At 40.8% G+C, this 17,901-nt stretch overlaps 2 annotated features.

Annotated features, from left to right (window-relative positions):
* Positions 10,950–11,131: a silencer, noted in NCBI's record as "fragment chr18:22446838-22447019 (GRCh37/hg19 assembly coordinates)". NCBI's record gives its function as "represses an EF-1alpha promoter that drives an FKBP-Casp9 reporter gene in an ReSE screen in HepG2 liver carcinoma cells {active_cell/tissue: HepG2}" and the evidence as "EXISTENCE:reporter gene assay evidence [ECO:0000049][PMID:32094911]".
* Positions 14,969–15,470: an enhancer, noted in NCBI's record as "NANOG hESC enhancer chr18:22442499-22443000 (GRCh37/hg19 assembly coordinates)". NCBI's record gives its function as "activates a minimal SCP1, AML or CMV promoter by ChIP-STARR-seq in naive H9 embryonic stem cells {active_cell/tissue: H9 hESC(naive)}" and the evidence as "EXISTENCE:reporter gene assay evidence [ECO:0000049][PMID:30033119]".

Genomic DNA, 17,901 nt, shown 5'->3' with positions numbered 1-17,901 from the left:
TGATGCTGAGATACATTAGAAAAACATTAAGATGTAATCAGGCACTCCCTGGGGGCCAGGGTTGCAGTGGGATCAATAAACTTTGCCACCCTGTTGGCTTCCGTTCGGGCAAATCTTCAGTCATCAACATTCCCTGCCCTCTCTGCCAAAAAAATGAAGTGAGATCCTGCTCTGAGGTTCAGCATCCTGAACACAAAATGCCTGAGGCTGCCTCCCCAAAGTCTGAGAAGTCAGTGTAGCATTCCCTTGAGGATTTCTCGGCCAGTGTCTTTTGTAGAAAGGGCAGGGTTTTTGTTGGACCCCCCACCCCCGCCCCCCACCCAAAGCAGTGTCACAAAGGGAGCCGTCATCTGGATTCTGGATAATGACCATTCTGTTTCCAGTGAAATACAAACCCACGTTTTTTTTTCTTAGCACAGCCCTAAATGCCTTCAGTGTATACTGCCCACAACAATAGATTATAAAGCTTTCCTAACATCATTCCTGACCAAAAAATTAGTAGAGATTGTGTCTTTTAGAAAGTACTGAAATTATTCTAAAATGATCCGCACATACCTTAGCTTTGGGGGCCTGAATGACAAAAGATGGGCATTGCCTTACAAACAAAGGAACTTTTCGTTTCTGTCTTGTGCTTGGACTGTGAGGCTGCTCTGAGTGGGGAGGCATGGCTGTCATCTTGCTGTGCTGAAAGCATCCTTATCCCACATCTGAATAAAAGACAAAGAGACCCCCATCCAGGCAGCATGTGGGGATGTTCACATCTAACAATAACCATATATTGTGCGGAAGTACAAGTGTGGACAGTCTGCACTTCTTGGAAGCTAAGCTGCGTTACAGCTATCTGGGTTTCTTTTAATGACTCTGAGGGACAATGCATCACCTACAAGTCTAAAGCACATTCGATAAAACATCTTGGAGTCAGTGCCTGTGGAATTCATTTTCCAGAGACAGTCAAGCTTGGGGATTTGTTTTCTAAGTTTTTTTTTTCTTTCCTTCTTTCTTTCTTTCTTTGTGTGTGTGTGTGTGTGTGTGTGTGTGTGTGTGTGTGTGTAAACCGCAAAGCTACTTTTTCCTCCACTCTATCATCTTTCAGCCCTGAGTGAGTTTGCATGATTCATCATTGTTTAAGCAGGTTTTCTACAAGAGAAGATTACTAAACTAATTGATTATTAATTGATTATCGTAATAGTCCATAACATTCCATTTGCAGTGATTCCTCAAAGCAACGTATGCCCTGGGTAGTTCTCAACAGTGAGGGATTTGCGGACCCACAGCCAAGCTTGCACGTCCTTTAGGGACGCATCCATCTGGCTCTGACAGTGCCACATCCATTATTCCCACAAATAGTACTAAGGGAGGTAGTATTGGGTGGAATGGAGAACATCGTTTCCTCTAGTTTCTTCCATTTGCAACATGTTGAACATTTCCTTTTTCTGCATAACTCTGGCATAGTGTGTGTTTGTGAGGAGAGGAGGAATGCATTTTCAGAAACTTCTCCACCTTCCTGTGGCCACAGACTTCTTGTCCTCCAGGGCCACTGGGCTGTGTTGATGGCCCAATCTGCTGAAATGTGATTCAGCTTATGACTCAAACTCCATCACTATTAAAGAGCCACATTGTCACGTTCATTCGTTTGGCCCTGCATTTGGTCACGAAAGGTCCTTTTTAAGGTTCTCTCTCTGTTTTCGGCCCTGGCTCTAGCCCTGGGGATGTTCATTCAGCAGAGCACAAGGAGTGCCCTTGGGCCGATGGGGCAAAAAGACAATTCCCTTGACCAGGACAGTGAAGTGTCATTTGTGCTGTGGCAGCACAGAAAAGGGACACCCTGAATGGGTGGCAGGAGTCAGGGAAAGCTTCCCAGAAGAAGGGACATTCAAGCTGAATTTAAAAGGGTGTGTGTGGAACTGAGTAAAGAAGGAGATGTGCATTTCAGCATAGCTTCATAGAAGAAGCATAGAGTAATGAAACCACAGCTAAGTTCAAAGTTGTTGTTCCCCAGTGGCCTGAGGGAAGGGTGTGTGTGGGGTCGGGCAGAGAGAGCATCAGGGAACAGAGAAACCCACATGTGGAGCTCCATGGTTCCTCAAAGGCACAGCTTTATGACCTACTTTATTTAACATTTGTCCAGCACCTGCTTTGTACAGGGAACTGTCTGACATGCTGTGGCCTGGAGGGATTGAGAGGAAAACCATCTCTGCCCTCAACAATAGACACACAGTGAGTGCCTACTGCATACCAGACAAGCTTTTAGGTTCTTTCCTGTGGCTTTTCAATTTAATCCTCACGACAAACCTGCAAAGTAAGTATTGTTAGCTCAATTTCACAAATGAGGAAACTGGAGCCCTGAGAGGTAAAAACTACCTATTTAAGATCAAACATCTGGTTTGCAGCCAGCTGGGATCAGAACTACAGAGAAGACACAAGAAGTTTATGACTCAAGATTTCCATTTATACCATACCAGATAGGAGAGGAAGAGCAGGGAAGGAAATGTAAAAATGTGGGCGGTTCTCCCTCTGGTCAAGCCAGCCTATCGCTTTGTACCAGGCAGGAGCCCTGGGCCCAGACTCTCTGGAAATTCCTATGTGGACACGTTCCAGGCAGGAAAGCACAACAAAGACAGTCCCTTTGTTTCTCCTGTTGCCCCCTTATCCCCATGCCCTTTCCTGAAGCTGCTCCTGCCTCTGACCTACATGGCAGTAGACAAGGCTTAAGCCTTCTCTTGGATCCTTTAAATTCCCACAGGTGGTCCTTTCCAGTTATTCCCACTTCAGACATTTCTCAAGCTGAGTGGAGGGAGGTGGAAAGCTTCGTACGCAGGAAAAGAAGGGAGATAAAGAAATTAGGAGGATTCTGAACACTGGGTTGTGGTTTCCTTCATACAAAACTTGTTTCATATTGGTAGTCCCAGATTACTTTTCAAAATATTAGGTTGGTGCAAAAAAATTGTGGTTTCTGCCATTACTTTCAATGGCAAAAACCATTGATTACTTTTGCACCAACTCAATAGTAAAATCCACAAGCAAACACATATATCTCACTCTGTGAAGGTTAGTCTCCTGCCAGTAGCCCTCACTGGGTTTACCAACTCTATTGTTATCCCCTCCCCCTATCTTCTCTTAACCTGATACTAGAAGGCCCAGTAACTAATTATGACATTCCCACAAGAAGGGAAGAAATGTAGTCCCACTAATAGAGAAAGCAGAATAAAGGAAAGGATAGTCAAGGACTTCTCGAAACAACTAAAAATGACAAAGCTGGCTCAGAAATACAGTGTTTTATAAAGTAGAGACATTTATTAAGCAACGGAAGGTTTCCATATAAGTTGTAAGTATATGAAAAAGTCCAAGGAAAATAAAGCTATGGAGACAGTCGTAAAGCATGCAGGTATTGGCTGGACATTTCTAAAACACTATAGGTCTTACTTATTGCTATGGTTTGTATGTACTCCTCAAAGTTCTGTGCTGGAAACTTAATCCTCAATGCAACAATGTTGCAAGGTAAAACCTTTAAAACGGAATTTGGTCTTGAGGGCTCTGCCTTCCTTATTGTAAGAGTAGGTGTGTTATAAAAGCAAGTTTGGACCCCTCTCTCTTGCCCATGTGATGCTTTCCACCATGTTATGATGCATCAAGAAGGCCCCCACCAGATGCAATCCCTCAATCTAGGACTTTCCAGCCACCAGAACCATGAGCGAAATAAATTTCTGTTCATTATACATTACCCACTCTCAGGTATTCTGTAATATCAGCACAAAATAGACTAAGACACTTATTTATGCCTGGATCCCCCTGGTAAAACTTTCCTATGCCTGATTTTTGCACCCTGAGCCCAGCTGTGCAAGGTCACACCTCTAAACCTTGTCTAGTGCTTTATTGTCTCAGATAGTGTGTTGTGTGTTTGCTCATTGCCTCTTTGGTCTTTGAGTTCTCCAGTATTCACAAAACATTGTATTTCTGAATCTGTAATACTTCACATCACAGAGGGAAATAGAAACGGAAGACGCTGGAGGGAACATGAAGGGAGAAAAAGACAGGAGACTTTGTCAGGAGTTTTAAACTTTCTTATTGAGTTAGAAGAAGCCCTGGGGAGAAGATGTTTTAGATGTTTGGGCCTTCTGGGTTCACCGTTGCCGCAGAGAAGAAAGAGTGTGGTGATTTAAAAGTGATCGAGACACGCAAGGGACTTAAAGAGACGACTGGAGGAAGGTGACTCTCTCACAATTGCTCTTTTATGTGGGCATTAAGGCTGTGACCAGTATTGTCATCATTTACAGGATATGTTGCCTTCAGAAGGCATGAGAAATCTTGGCCCCTTTGACTATAGGAAGAGAAAACTTTCCAGCCTTTTACCTAAAGTCCTTTATTCCATGATTCACAGCATTAAGGAAAGAACTCAGGCACTTAGGGAAAGAGATTTCCAATTCATGCTGCACTCCTAATTTGCTCTGTAAATTTTAGCAGTTTCCCTTACTTTGGTGATTTTACAATATTAACCATTTGCAGTCAGAGCAAGAATTACAAGGAAAATCATAAATACTGAGGTGGTAAGCATACTTGTGGCGTTGTCAGTCAAGACATTCTAATATGGGGTTTCTGACAATTAGAACAGGGCACCTTCTCTGACCTCTCTCTGGAGCAAAGGACTCCAGGGTGGTTGGAGATTCTGACAGTGCCAAAGGGAAAATGAGATGAAAAAATCATTTTTCCAGTTAATTAATTTCCAAGAAAACTGTATCTGCAGTTTCTATTGTGCCCCCTCCCCTACCATAAATACTTAAGGGTCAATGAAAATGATAGTACGTGATTTGTTACCAACTTTATGAACATCGGTAGGGTCAGCCTCAAAGATTGCTCAGTTTAGCATTTACCGTGATGCCTGGCATAAATGAGGTATCTGTTATGGGCTGAATTGCGTGCCCCCAAAATTTATCTGTTGAAGTTTGAATCTCCAGTACCTCAGAATGTGACTGTATTTGGAGACAGAGTCTTTAAGGAGATAATTAAGTTAAAATGAGGTTGTTAAGGTGGACCTAAATACAGTGTGACTGGTGTCCTTATAAAAAGAAGAGATTAGGACATAGACACACACAAGAGGAAGACCATGTGGGGAAACAGGGAGAAAATGACCATCTACATCTATAAGCCAAGGAGAGAGGCCTCAGAAAAAAAAAATAACCTTCGGACACTTTGATCTTGGACTTCCAGCCTCCAGAACTGTGAGGAAATAAATACCTTTTAATTAAGTCATCCTGTCTATGGTGCTTTGTTATGGTGGCCCTAACAAACTAACAGAATGCCTACAATTGTGTACTATGTGAAAAAAAGTCAATCAGATGATAAAGGAGCACTCCTAGAAAACCTTAAATCTGTAGACATGATGGTGAACAGTTGACACTGTGAAGTGTGGCCAAGGGTTCAGGACTTGTATGACCTCAGCCAAGTTCGCTAACCTCTCTGAGCATGGATCCCTCTTTTGTGACGTAAGGATAATGATGCTGGACTATATAATGTTTATTTATAGAAGAAAACCTGAGGAACCTGATAGGCTCTGAGTATATAAAAATGAATAACATTGTCCCTATTCTTGAGATGTATAAGGTGATTCTAATTAAGGAGAGAGAGAGATGTCCACAAATGCATAACTGCAACACAAAGAAGGAATACCTGCTTCGAGAGAGATATGTACATGAGCTTCTACAGAAATATGTGCACCATGTTAAGGTCATATCCAATTAACTTTTGAGAGGGAGGGTCAGAAAAAATGTCCCAAATGTAACAATTTAGCTGGGTCTTAAAGTGTAAGGTCACATAGCAGCAGAAAATGAGACAAGAGGGCTTTCCCATAAAGAAGCAAGTCAACAAGCATGGGTGGCTAGAGGGGCAAGAACAGTAAAGGGCTCAAAGGACAGTAAGTAGTTAGTGGTGACAGGAGTGCATCACTGAGATTGGCAGAACTTGAGACAGGAAAGTTAGGTTGATATCAAAACATGAATTGTCTTGAATGCCAGGATAACACATCTAGGCTTTATTCTATTAGACATCAGGAATCACAGAAGGTTCTGAAGCAAGGAGGTGATATGAATGGATCCGTCTTTTGGAAGGAAAGCATACCCCAAAGGCAGTGTAGTGAATGGTTACAATGGGAAACATTTGGAAACGGATAGCTGAGTAGGCATGCCATTGCAGTAGCTCAGGTACCCGACAAGCTTCAGGAAGTCAGAAGGATTGTATTGGATAAACTATGTGTTCAATAACACTAATAAATGTAATTATTTTTTAATGGAAGCAGATTTAGGGCGAGAGCTTGTCAATTCATGTCAATGCTAATTAAATTTTCTGAGAGGTGGTGAGAAGTTAGTTAATATTATAACAAGCATGTGATACCAGGTAATTTTCTCAGTTGCAAATATCTTTCTTCATTTAACACCAAAATAACTGCTCATTTTGATTGAACAACCAACCAATATGAAGAGAGAAGTAGAGTTTTGTCAAAATGACTTTTCAATGCGGTTCTATCTTATTTTAATCTTCACTGTAACCTATAATCACTTTTGGTGGCATTATGACAGATATGCTGGCACATGTGGCAGACTATACTGAAGGTTTCAATTCCACAGGTATTGGTTTTGAAATTTCATATATTTAGAAATATAAATAGCATTAAGTTTTAAAAGACAGAATTGTATACATTCTTTACCAATATGTTCCCCTCTCTCTTTGTATCCCTCACCCACCACATAGCAGAATTTCTTACTACGTCCTCTGTGTTCCCAAAGCCCCTTGTTTGGTATTGCATGGATCACTGTGGGAAGAAATAAACATAAGCCTCTGTTTCCATTGTTAGATCACAAGCTCCTTGTCTTCTTCATCCGTGGCTCCCCAGAGCCTAGCACAGTGCCTGCCTGGCCACAACAGATGCTCAACACTCAGTGACTGAATTGCTTTAATGTTACTCCCAGGATGGATTGTGTGTGCATGCATGTGTGTGTGTGTCTCTATGTGTGTGTGTGTTTTTCTGCTATAAACTCAGAGTGAAACGTGATGAAGTGGTGTAGATTCTACTTGATAGCTGGTTTCATAAAGTAGCTCTCTTTTTTAATGTAAAAACCTTCGTGAATGAACTGACACATGCAGTTAAGCACATTTTAAAGACTCCATCTTAGCAGTCAGCTTTAGTGAGCCCGTCTCTCTTTGAATGTTAAGTGTCTGATTCATAAGCGCTTGTCCCACTCCATTGCCCTGGTGCAGATCACGCTTATTTGTTTGACTTGTACAGGACTATTGTGTATACGTCTCCCATACAGAATATCATTACACCAAGGCAGAGAGAGGTTTAATACACATTTTGTACTTTTGACACCTAAATAATCCAGTTATCACCTTGACATGGAAATTGGAATGTCTTTGTTCTACTGGCCTGACATAATCAAGTTAGAATACATATATATCAACATTTTCAAACCATGAAGTATGCTGCAAATACCAAAACTTCTTCACTGTTTCAAACAATGCAGCCAAGAGAGTTCATTATACAGAGATAGGGAAATAAATTATTTTTTTTCTTTTTGCTCTTCTGCAGTTGACTAAGGAAGTGTCAGTAAAGCAGTCAGGTGCTTTGGTGGCTAATGTTTTCATGATCTATGCACCCAGCATCTGGCCTCACTGTCATTTATTATCTTTTTCCTTGGATGTTAATAAAGCCATAGATATTTTTTTAAAGTGTCTTCTTGTTCTTCTATCTGCTTAAATCACACTTAATATTGTTTAATGTTGGTCAATAATAGTTGACCTTTTATTGAGAGCTTGTCATTTGCAAGGTGTCATACTTGATACCTTAAGCACACCACCCCCTATAATCCTTACCAGCCCTATATAGTAAGTACTATTTTTTTCTCTCCTATGTAGAGGCAGAAATCACAGCTAGGAGACACCTTTCCAGGTTCCCACCACTAGTGGAGTGGAGGTGAGAGACTGTATCTCTCTCTTTTGAGCCTGGTTTTAAACACTGTACTACACTGTCTAAGCCTATTGAGGTAGCACACAATCCTCTGTCGCTTCTAACTTTACTGAAAGCCTGTACTAGTTTCCAGCATGAATAGGGAACTCCAAATATGTTAATGAATGATTAATATAGTACTAATCACTAACCGTAGATCCATAGAGGAAGATTCAGAAACAGTGGAAATAGAAATATTTTTGCACCTGTACAATGATAGCATCAATAATGATAATAAGGATAATAACATTTAATTCACTTGTGGAGAAAATATTACAAACTGATCTTAATGCAGGCAACAAAATTAAGGCAATTGGTGGGTTTAAGGTAGCAGTTTCAACATATCTACTTGGAAATACGTTATGGCCCAACAAAGATTCAAGAGACTTCCCAAGCAATATCCAAGGTATAATGACACACGTTGGATAAATCATTCCAAAGCTATTACAGAGAGACTCACTCTGCCATATGGAAAAAGTGGTTAGGGAACAATTAACTTCAACAATGTATATTGCCCCTGGAAACAAAACTGGGTTAAGCCGCTAGGACAAGGCTGACTGCAACCTCTATAAATTAGTCAGTAATAATGGCCATAGTTTGAAACCATAAAGACTTTGAAAAATAGAATAAGTACAAGCCATGAAATCATTTAGGAAAGACCCAACAACAAAGGCTGAGGGAGAGACACCAAGTACTTCTTTTTTTTAATTTATCATAGTTATAGCTTAAGTAAAGCAAATGTTTGATGAGTGTGAAGACTGGTGTAGTGAGCCAAGATAGGATAATTGGCACTAAAATTATTGCAAGGGTTTAATAAAAGAGCCCTTGTTTATGTAGTGAAGAAGATGTAAACAAGTGAACGTAAATGCAGACAAAATGCTTTCATTGCTGCATGCTACCAACAGCCCTGAGAAAAGCTGCTAAGATGATGAATCATCAAGAAGCCATTGAGTACAAGTAAATAGAGGAATTAACACAGAGGTCAGTTAAGACCATAAACTAAGTAAATAAAAAATTTTAAATATAACATATCTGAGATGATAGAGCCATAGTCACAGGCCAACAATTTCTGGCTAAAAGACCAACAGTTTGCTACACTCTCAAACTAATAAAGTAAACGGGATCGTGAGTAAGAGCCAATAAAGAGATGATGAGATAAAGAGAAAGGCATGTGTGTTTGGAAGAGCAACCCAGGCACCTCACAGCTCAGATGCCCCTCCCAACCGGGGATTTAATAAAAGCAAGTTTATATTATTTCGGGACAACTCAGAAAATGAGGCCATTGGATTTCTATTCCAATAATAAATTATCTTAAGGTTTTGTACATGAAGATTTAGTTATTATAATGATTACACACTAAAGCTTCCTAAGAATTTTTCATCATTATTTTTAAGAAAATATCTTGCTTATTTAAGTGCTTGCATGTGTTTTATAGAATTTGGGTTTTCAACAATTCCAACATTTATTCTTAATGCCACATAGCAGATGAGGAAATTGAGCCTCTGATGCGGTGAAATAATATGTCTAAGATAAACACAGATTGTCCGGTAGAAACAACATTAGAACACTTCTTATAAGCTACTTCTATAGCTTTTTTCTCTCACATAATCAGCCCTCCAAGTTTAAAAGAAATCTGAAATGTAAACTATACGTTGATTATAAGAAAAGCATGAATCCAAGTTGGGAGATATATTTAAATCCCATTAAACTAACTGAAAAATTCATGAGCAATACATAGATAATTTGTTTCTTATTAAAACATTAAACTTGTAAAGAATATTTAGCTGTTCAAATGTCAAGTAACAGGATAGCTATAGTAAGTTAATTAGGTACCAATTCATTGCTAAAGATACTTAATTGACATTTAATAAGCATATTAAATACCAATTAACCAACTATATTTAGTGCTAACTATATTTAGTCAAAGTTGTTTTGTTAATTGCTTGCTCAGTGCCTTAGTATCTATGGTCAATAGATTATAACCCAATTAAATATATACATTAATGTGTTTGCCTATATGTCTCCCCAGTGAGGAACATTGCCTGGATGTCCATCTGTGAGTTTAACCATCATCACCCATCTTGGTGAAGAAAACAGCATCTTGCAAACTATCCCAGTTCATAGAAGGCCTTCTGTAGACAAAAGAATCAGTCAAAAGGTGACAATAGGGATGCACCACTCTCCTGTCACTGCTGAACTTGGAGACATGGAGAACTTAACAGGTTCTGGTGAGAGGGGCAGAGGGATATTTGGGGCAGAGTTCACAGCCCCTTTGAGATATCTGTAGAGGGGCTTTCTCAATTCAGAAGCAACAGCCAAGGTGTTTTCTAAATACCATTTTTACTGTCATCTACAGGAGGGAGGAACACACTGATTGTAATAATTGCCTCCAGGATCTCATGGCTTTCCTGGGCTCTAGAGATGTTGGCTAGGGTTCTTTTTGGACCACTGACTAAATAACGCTGTCAGTCACATGCTGTGGGATCTGTATTGTGTATTCTGGTCACAACACATTCCTGCAGACATGATGCTTGCAGCACAATAGAGAAGAGGCGTGAAAAAAGAGCAGGGACCTGAGCACATTAACGTTGGCCACTCTTCCCTGACCCCATGAAGGCATTTAATGCGTCTTTAGTTCCCCACGTTGGGACTCCTTCCTGAGGTTTGCATATGCAGAAGAGCAGAACGGTGATGTGAATCAGTCATTCAGAGGGCTGAGGGCAATGCTGGTGGTCACTCAGACAACTCCAGCAGGCAAGATGCACCCAAACAAGATTAGTCTTTTTTTGGTTGGGGGAATAGGGTCTCACTCTGTCACCCAGGCTGGAGTGCAGTGGTGCAATTTTGGCTCACTGCAACCTCTGCCTCCCTAGTTCAAGCGATCCTCCCACCTCAGCCTCCAGAGTAGCTGGGACTCCAGGGACGTTCCACCACACTCGGCTAATTTTTGTATTTTTGTAGTGACGGAATTTCACCGTGATGGCCAGGATGGTCTCAAACTCCTGAGCTCAAGACATCTGCCCGCCTCTGCCTCCCAAAGTGCTGGGATTAAGGCGTGAGCCCCCACGTCTGGTTCAAGATTAGTCTTAACATGGTAAGACAACTTAGCAGACATTTCCTAAATGAAGATGAATTGATATTGTAGAAGTCAACCTAACCTTAAAGTTTTGGGGGTACTTTCCATTTTTAAAATAACCAAATTGTTGCACCCAGTGTGATCACGGAGCCTGGACAGAGCCAAAGTCCAGGGACATGAACATTCAATTGTGAGGGCTACACGATCATGTGTGCTCTGCAATCCAGAAAAGTCAGCCCCTTGGGCAGTGAGCTGAGCAATTAGTTTTGGGAGTTCCCAATAAGGGGCAAAACTGTTCCAAGGATGGCCAGGCGCTGTGGCTTAGGCCTGCAATCCCAGCACTTTCGGAGATCGAGGCAGGCGGATCACGAGGTCATGAGATTGAGACCATTCTGGCCAACACGGTGAAACCTCATCTGTACTAAAAATACAAAAATTAGCCGGGTGTGGTGGCACATGCCTGTAGTCCCAGCTACTTGGAAGACTGAGGCAGGAGAATCACTTGGACCCAGGAGGCGGAGGTTGCAGTGAGCTGAGATCGCGCCACTGCACTCCAGCCTGGCGACAGAGTGAGACTCCATCTCAAAAAAAAAAAAAAAAAAAAAAAAAAAAAACTGTTCCAAGGGCAATCAGAATTCCAAAGTCCAGGGAAAAGCTGAGTCAGGAACTGAAGACATTACAGCTATGGAAGGCAGGAGTCAGGAACGAGGCACAGAGTGACTCAAAATTATTCCAGGAACATTTTTTTTTTTTTTTTTGAGACAGGGTCTCCCTTTGTCACCCAGGCTGGAGTGCAGTGGTGCAATCTCGGCTCACTGCAAGCTTCGTCTCCCGGGTTCATGCCATTCTCCTGCCTCAGCCTCCCGAATAGCTGAGACTACAGGCGCCTGCCACCACGCCCGGCTAATTGTTTGTATTTTTAGTAGAGACGGGGTTTCACCGTGTTAGCCAAGATGGTCTCCATCTCCTGACCTCGTGATCTGCCCGCCTCGGCCTCCCAAAGTGCTGGGATTACAGGCGTGAGCCACAGCGCCTGGCCAGGAACTCCTTTCTTAATACCGTGGATGGATTTTTAAAAGCTGTGACTTTTGTCTGCAATTGTCTTCCCGTACTGCTGCTCCACCTCTGTAGGCATAACCAAAAGAAACTCCCTAGGATAACTGTAATTCAAACATATTACGGCCAGAGAAATAAATTATGGTGAGACAGAATTTCTAGGTGACAGAATATAGTAAGGTACACAATATAGCAAGGGTAATAATTTCAAATACAAACAGTTACACATATACTAGGCATGATGATAAAATGAAATGAGTGGCTATAAACAAAGATCATGAATGTATTAATTAGAAATTAGTTGAGGGGATGCCTAGCCATGGTGACCCTGGTTGACCTCTTCTATCATTTTTCCCCCATTGAACAATATTTTTTATTATTTTTCATCATAAGTCCATCAGTGATTATCAGCAAGACTGCATTTGTGTGCAGCAGGGGTGGTCTCCTCTTCAATAACTGCCTTGGGTTCTGATGAGAATCTTCCCATCATCTTGAGACTTGGCAGCGTATTAATATGTAACACTCTTTAAACTGTCCCAGGGCCGGTCAAGTAATGCAATTTACCTCATTTGGCTTTTGCATTGCACTTTCCATTGGAAGGGCTTGTGCACTTTGCATGTTTTCAGTTAATGAAGGATTGCAGTGTGCCTGCAAGCTTTGTTTGAAAGTGCCATGAAATGGAGGAAAAAATTAGCACCCAGAAGGAAATAATTGTTGCTCTGGATAAGTTTGATCAATGAGGGAAAGGAATAAAGAGATTGTAAATGACATTTAAAGTCTTTAGTATGAGATGCTCTTGAGTAAGCACAACACTGCAGCTAAGGTTAGCAATGAATTAGTTAACACAACAGAAGAACAGAGTCTGACTCTACAGACTGAACCAGAATTTCAATTTTCAGCTCAGTTGGCAGTAGAAGTGAGGCTGACAAGGGGGCTTGGCATAAATCATAAATTCCAAGATATTGTTCTATTGCCTTCTAGGGGGTTGGGTAGGCCACAGTTGACATATAGATTTGAGGTTCAGAATCTAGTTATGGTGTTTATAGAGAAAAGAAAGACAGACATAAGTTGGAGGGTACAAATTCCACAGGAAATTCAAGATAACTAACCAAATGAAGGATCTTCTGATTGAAGAGAAATGGACAAAATTGGATTCCAGATTTAGTTCTAAAAGTAGGTGATTAGGAAACAATCTGAATGAAGTATTAAATTCAACATGTCATAAATTTTTGGTTGATGATCAGTTTGAGTTTATTAGGTAGATCAGAACAAAAGGACATAAGTGCAAATCGAAGGGGAATGCATGTATGTAAAAGAAATTTAAAGAGATATTTTATGAAGAAAGTGGTGACATTTAGGATGAATCTAATAATGACATGGTTTTTTTTTAAATCAAAAAGAGTATAAGTGGTTACACTTATGAAAGAAACTCCCTGAATCTCAATGGCAGTATATGATGATTAAGGAAAGAAAATAGTGAGTTTATTTTAAACTGCAGAATCCCAAGCTAAATTTGCCACCTCCATGTTCACCAGAGCAAGGATGGGGGAACAGCTTAGAAACACCTTCTGTTTTATGGCTCCTAGCTCTTAAAGCCTTACTTTGCAAAGTGTTGTCCTATGGTACAGCAACATCAATATCAACTGGTAGCTTGTTGGAAATGCAGAATATTAGGCCCCACTCTAGACCTATGGAATCATAACCTGCATTTAACAAGATCCCCAGGCAATCTGTGTGTACGTTAAAGTTTAAAACGCACAGGTCTAAAGCATTTCAGCTACTGCTCTCCCTCCAAGATGGGATTCCAATAGGCTTGGATTTGAATTCTGGCTTTCCCACTTACTAGGCAATCTTGGTTAAATTATTTAATCTCTGAATCTCAATCTCTTTATCTGGGAATGATGATAACACTACCTACTTTGAAAGGCATGAAATTACCATGAAAAGAAATGAGTGTCATGGTTGGCAGCCCAGACTCTGAAACCCAGCAGTCTGACCGAAACACTGGTTCTGTCACTCGCTAGCTACATAATTTTGGGGCAAGTCATTAACTTCACTGAGCCATGGTTTTCTCATCTGTAAAGAGCAGGTAAAAATAGTACCTATATTATAGGGTTGTCATGGGGTTAATATTACATGTAGACCTCATAAAATAAGCCTGGCACCTAGCATAGATATATGATGATAGGTAGATAGATGGATAGATAGATAGATAGATAGATAGATAGATAGATAGATAGATGTGCTATATAGGCACTGGTTAGTATTATTGTTACAAATGCAGTGCTAGGCATACAACTGGTTTTCAACAAATATCTATTCTCAGTAGTATTGCTTGCCCTCAAAATGGCTTCTTATGCTCATGCTTTTAATCCCAGTGTTCTGGGAGGTCGAGGTGGGAGGATCGCTTGAGGCCAGTAATTCAAGACCAGCCTGGGCAACATAGCAAGACCTCCTTCCTACAAAAAGCTAAAAAATTAATTTAAAAAAATTAAAAACTTTTCTCCAGGTGTGGTGGCACATGCCTGTAGTCCCAGCTACGTGGGAGGCTGAGGCCAGAGGATCCCTTGAGCCCCAGAGTTCAAGGTTACAGTGAGGTATGTTAGTGCCACTGCACTCCAGCCTGGGTGACAGAGCGAGACACTATCTCTAAAACAACAACAACAACAATAATGGCTTATTGTTATAGAAGCAGTTAGATTAAGGAAAATAGATGGAGAGCAATAAATTCAAGATTTAAGTAATTACAGGTTTGTAGTAGTGTTTGCCTTTAACTTCTAATAGAATAATAATGTTTTTTGGCAAAACATATAAGAATACAGTTGACTCACTTGGCTTCACAAGCAAGTTGGAAAATAGGGCAAGTTAATATACACTTTATTAAAAAACAAAAACAAAAACAAAAAAACAAACTCTTCTAAACAAAACAAAAGGGCTTTCCCCTCACCAAATCCTAACCCCTTTTCATCTGAATGAACTTCTTTTTGTCTTGGCAAATTGAATTTCCCTAATGCAATCTCCATTTCTTTAAGCCTGCATTTCTCTGTCTGTATAGGCACTGAGAGAACAATCAAAATCTCGGGAAGGGCAGGGTTGATACTAACTTAGTTTTCTCTTTCTTTCCCCCTTAGCCTCCCATGACCTCCTTCCAGGAATCTTAATTCACACCCGCTCCCTCTAGCTAGTTTCTCAAAACCTCTTCTTGGAAGTCTGGCCGCCCCCTCCTTCCTTGTGACCTGGTTTCTGGCTCCAAGTCTCCCCCTGACCCCTGATCAACCCCTTTCACTTTCACAGCATCATTTCTGAGACTTGAGGTCGCCAAGGACGATAGCTTCCAATTCCACTGCCTTTTACCAGCCTGTGCAACCCTGAAATAATTTGCCTCGAAACCAATTCTTGGAGAGAGAAACCTGGTCAGACAAATGAGGGATTGTATTGTATTTCGTTCTTGCAAGCGAGCGCCCGCGGCAACATCTGTTTGTAGCAACAAGATTGGGATGTTGTTTTGTGCTTCTTCGTTGCCCATTCCGGTCCTTTCCCGGGTGTATTGTCTTCCCCGGAGGGGTCACCTCGCAGGGTTCTCTCAGCAGTCTGGACTTCCATACTAAGAAACTCGTAACTAATTACCACGACTTCAATTCTTAACTTGACCAGCTGTGTCTAAGAAAGGAAACCCTGGTCTCTCCCAGTGCTGCAGGATCTATAATTCATCCTCCGTAAAAAAAGTCAATATTGGAGCAAAAATGACATTTAAAAATCATAAAATAAGTAGTCTGGTATTTACCTAAGATGTTCTTTTCTTCCCTTTGCTTTATAGACCATGTACTGTATTGTTTATTTTCTTTGGGGCACTGTGTGTGTTTGTGAGACAGAAACAGGTAGAGAGATGGTTCTCCTGTTTCCAGTGACTTCTGGATAAGGGACAAAACAAGACCACTGAGAAAAGATAATGGAACAGCACAGGAAGAGCCTCTGCGGACACTCTCCTTGCAATTGTGATCTTGTGAAATGGTTAACTTTAAGGACTGAGCTGTGCAATTTAGCTTTTTTCTTGATTCTAAAATTGAGCTGTAAATTTTTATAGCTTTACAGATTAAAGAAAGATTAAAACCACAAAGCACGCATTAATTACAAACAGCTCACCAGGGGCAAATATATTTGTATCCCTCATCAGGGTGGTGCGAACACTCCAGTTTCTCCTCGAATCAGGGAGGCTTCTTCCCCTCCCCACACAACAGTGGCCCCATCAGAAGACGCTCAACAGACTGGGAATAGGAAAGCAAGAGACAGGCTTCCTTACCGCAGGCAAAGTCGGCTTCAAAGACTCCTCTAGGCCTCTGTGCCAAAAGCCTAGATTGATTCCACCCACCATTCAGAGTAGGGAAAATATTTTTAAAGTCATGACCTCCCTGGTAGGCTCAGACAGCAGATAAACAAAGGAGACTAGACCCTTTCCTCGGTCATAATAGTTAGGCATACCCGGGTTGGCCTCCTATGGAAAAATCTTTATCAATGAGCTGAGAGAGGAAGTGGTCAGAACAGGGAAACATAGGTCAGCAATGCTAAACTGGTTAGGAGATCCCTAAAGAAAGAAAGAAAGAAGAGAAACCGGGATAGATTTAACTGTTGGGCAATTGCAAGGATGTTGGAGAATTCAACATAATTTCCTTTTGTTCAACAAGGATTTGCTGAGCCTTGTGCTAAGCAGATAGCAGGCCAAATTTCACTGTGCTAGAAGCAAGATAGGACTGGTAGGAAGAACAGTACACTTATTCATGTACTCTGAAAACTTTCCGGTCATTTAATATTAACTTTAGGAAGTGTATACCTGTGCATGCCTGTGTGCATGCGTACGTGTGTGTGTGTGTGTGTGTAGCCCTTTGCTAAGTAAAAATATATAATAGCAAAACTCCAGGCCCTATTGCCATAATGGGCGATTTAACAGTACGGCATGGGAAATAATCAAATAATAACTCTCAGTGTGTTCATTCAAGTGACCAAATGAAAGATGGGGGAGATTATAGAACACAACAAAATACTGAGATTTTATTCTATCATATTAACTTATTACTTATTTATTTTGAATAATTTATTAAAAGATGGATAATATATGGACAACCTTAGAGATTTTAAATATGGATTTGGAACCTCAGCCTCATAGGGTAGTTGTGAGATACACACAAGAAGCACTCAGGAAATTCTCGGCACTATGACTCTCTCAATAAAGTTAAAACTCTCCATATGGCTCACCCAGAAAATACTCTTCAAGTTCAGTCTGTGGGAAGCTAAAACCACTGGAATAAGCAGCATCCTCTCTTTCCCCACACATTTGACAACAAACTAGTTATCACTAAAGATTTTAAATATACTGAAGGGAAAAACAAAATTGAGAATGTTCTATTTATGAATCTGACTGTATTTATTAATTTTGAAGCACAAAATGTAGCTCATCAGGCTCCGTTGTTCTCCAAAACTTAATAAGAGTAGTTAAAATTTATTGTGTGCTTATGAAATGCCGGGTAGTATGGTAAGCCCTGTACATGCATGATGTTAATTAATCCTCAAATCCCTTATGAGGAAGATTCTATTTCCATCCCCATTTTACAGATGCTGAGACTGAGGTTAAGTTAAATCCCCAAGGTTACATCGCTAGTCAGTGGCGGAGCTCAAATTCTAACTCCGACTTTGGGCCTGGAGCCCTTAACTGCTAAGCCTGCTGCCTTTCCAAACAGTCTGAGAACCATTGCCCAAAAGTGAATTAATTCTAGTGAGG

This window comes from Homo sapiens, chromosome 18, assembly GCF_000001405.40.
Source record: "Homo sapiens chromosome 18, GRCh38.p14 Primary Assembly".
NCBI classification, from domain to species: domain Eukaryota; kingdom Metazoa; phylum Chordata; class Mammalia; order Primates; family Hominidae; genus Homo; species Homo sapiens.
Note: the sequence above shows the minus strand (reverse complement) of the source record. Positions and strands in the feature narration are given on the sequence as shown.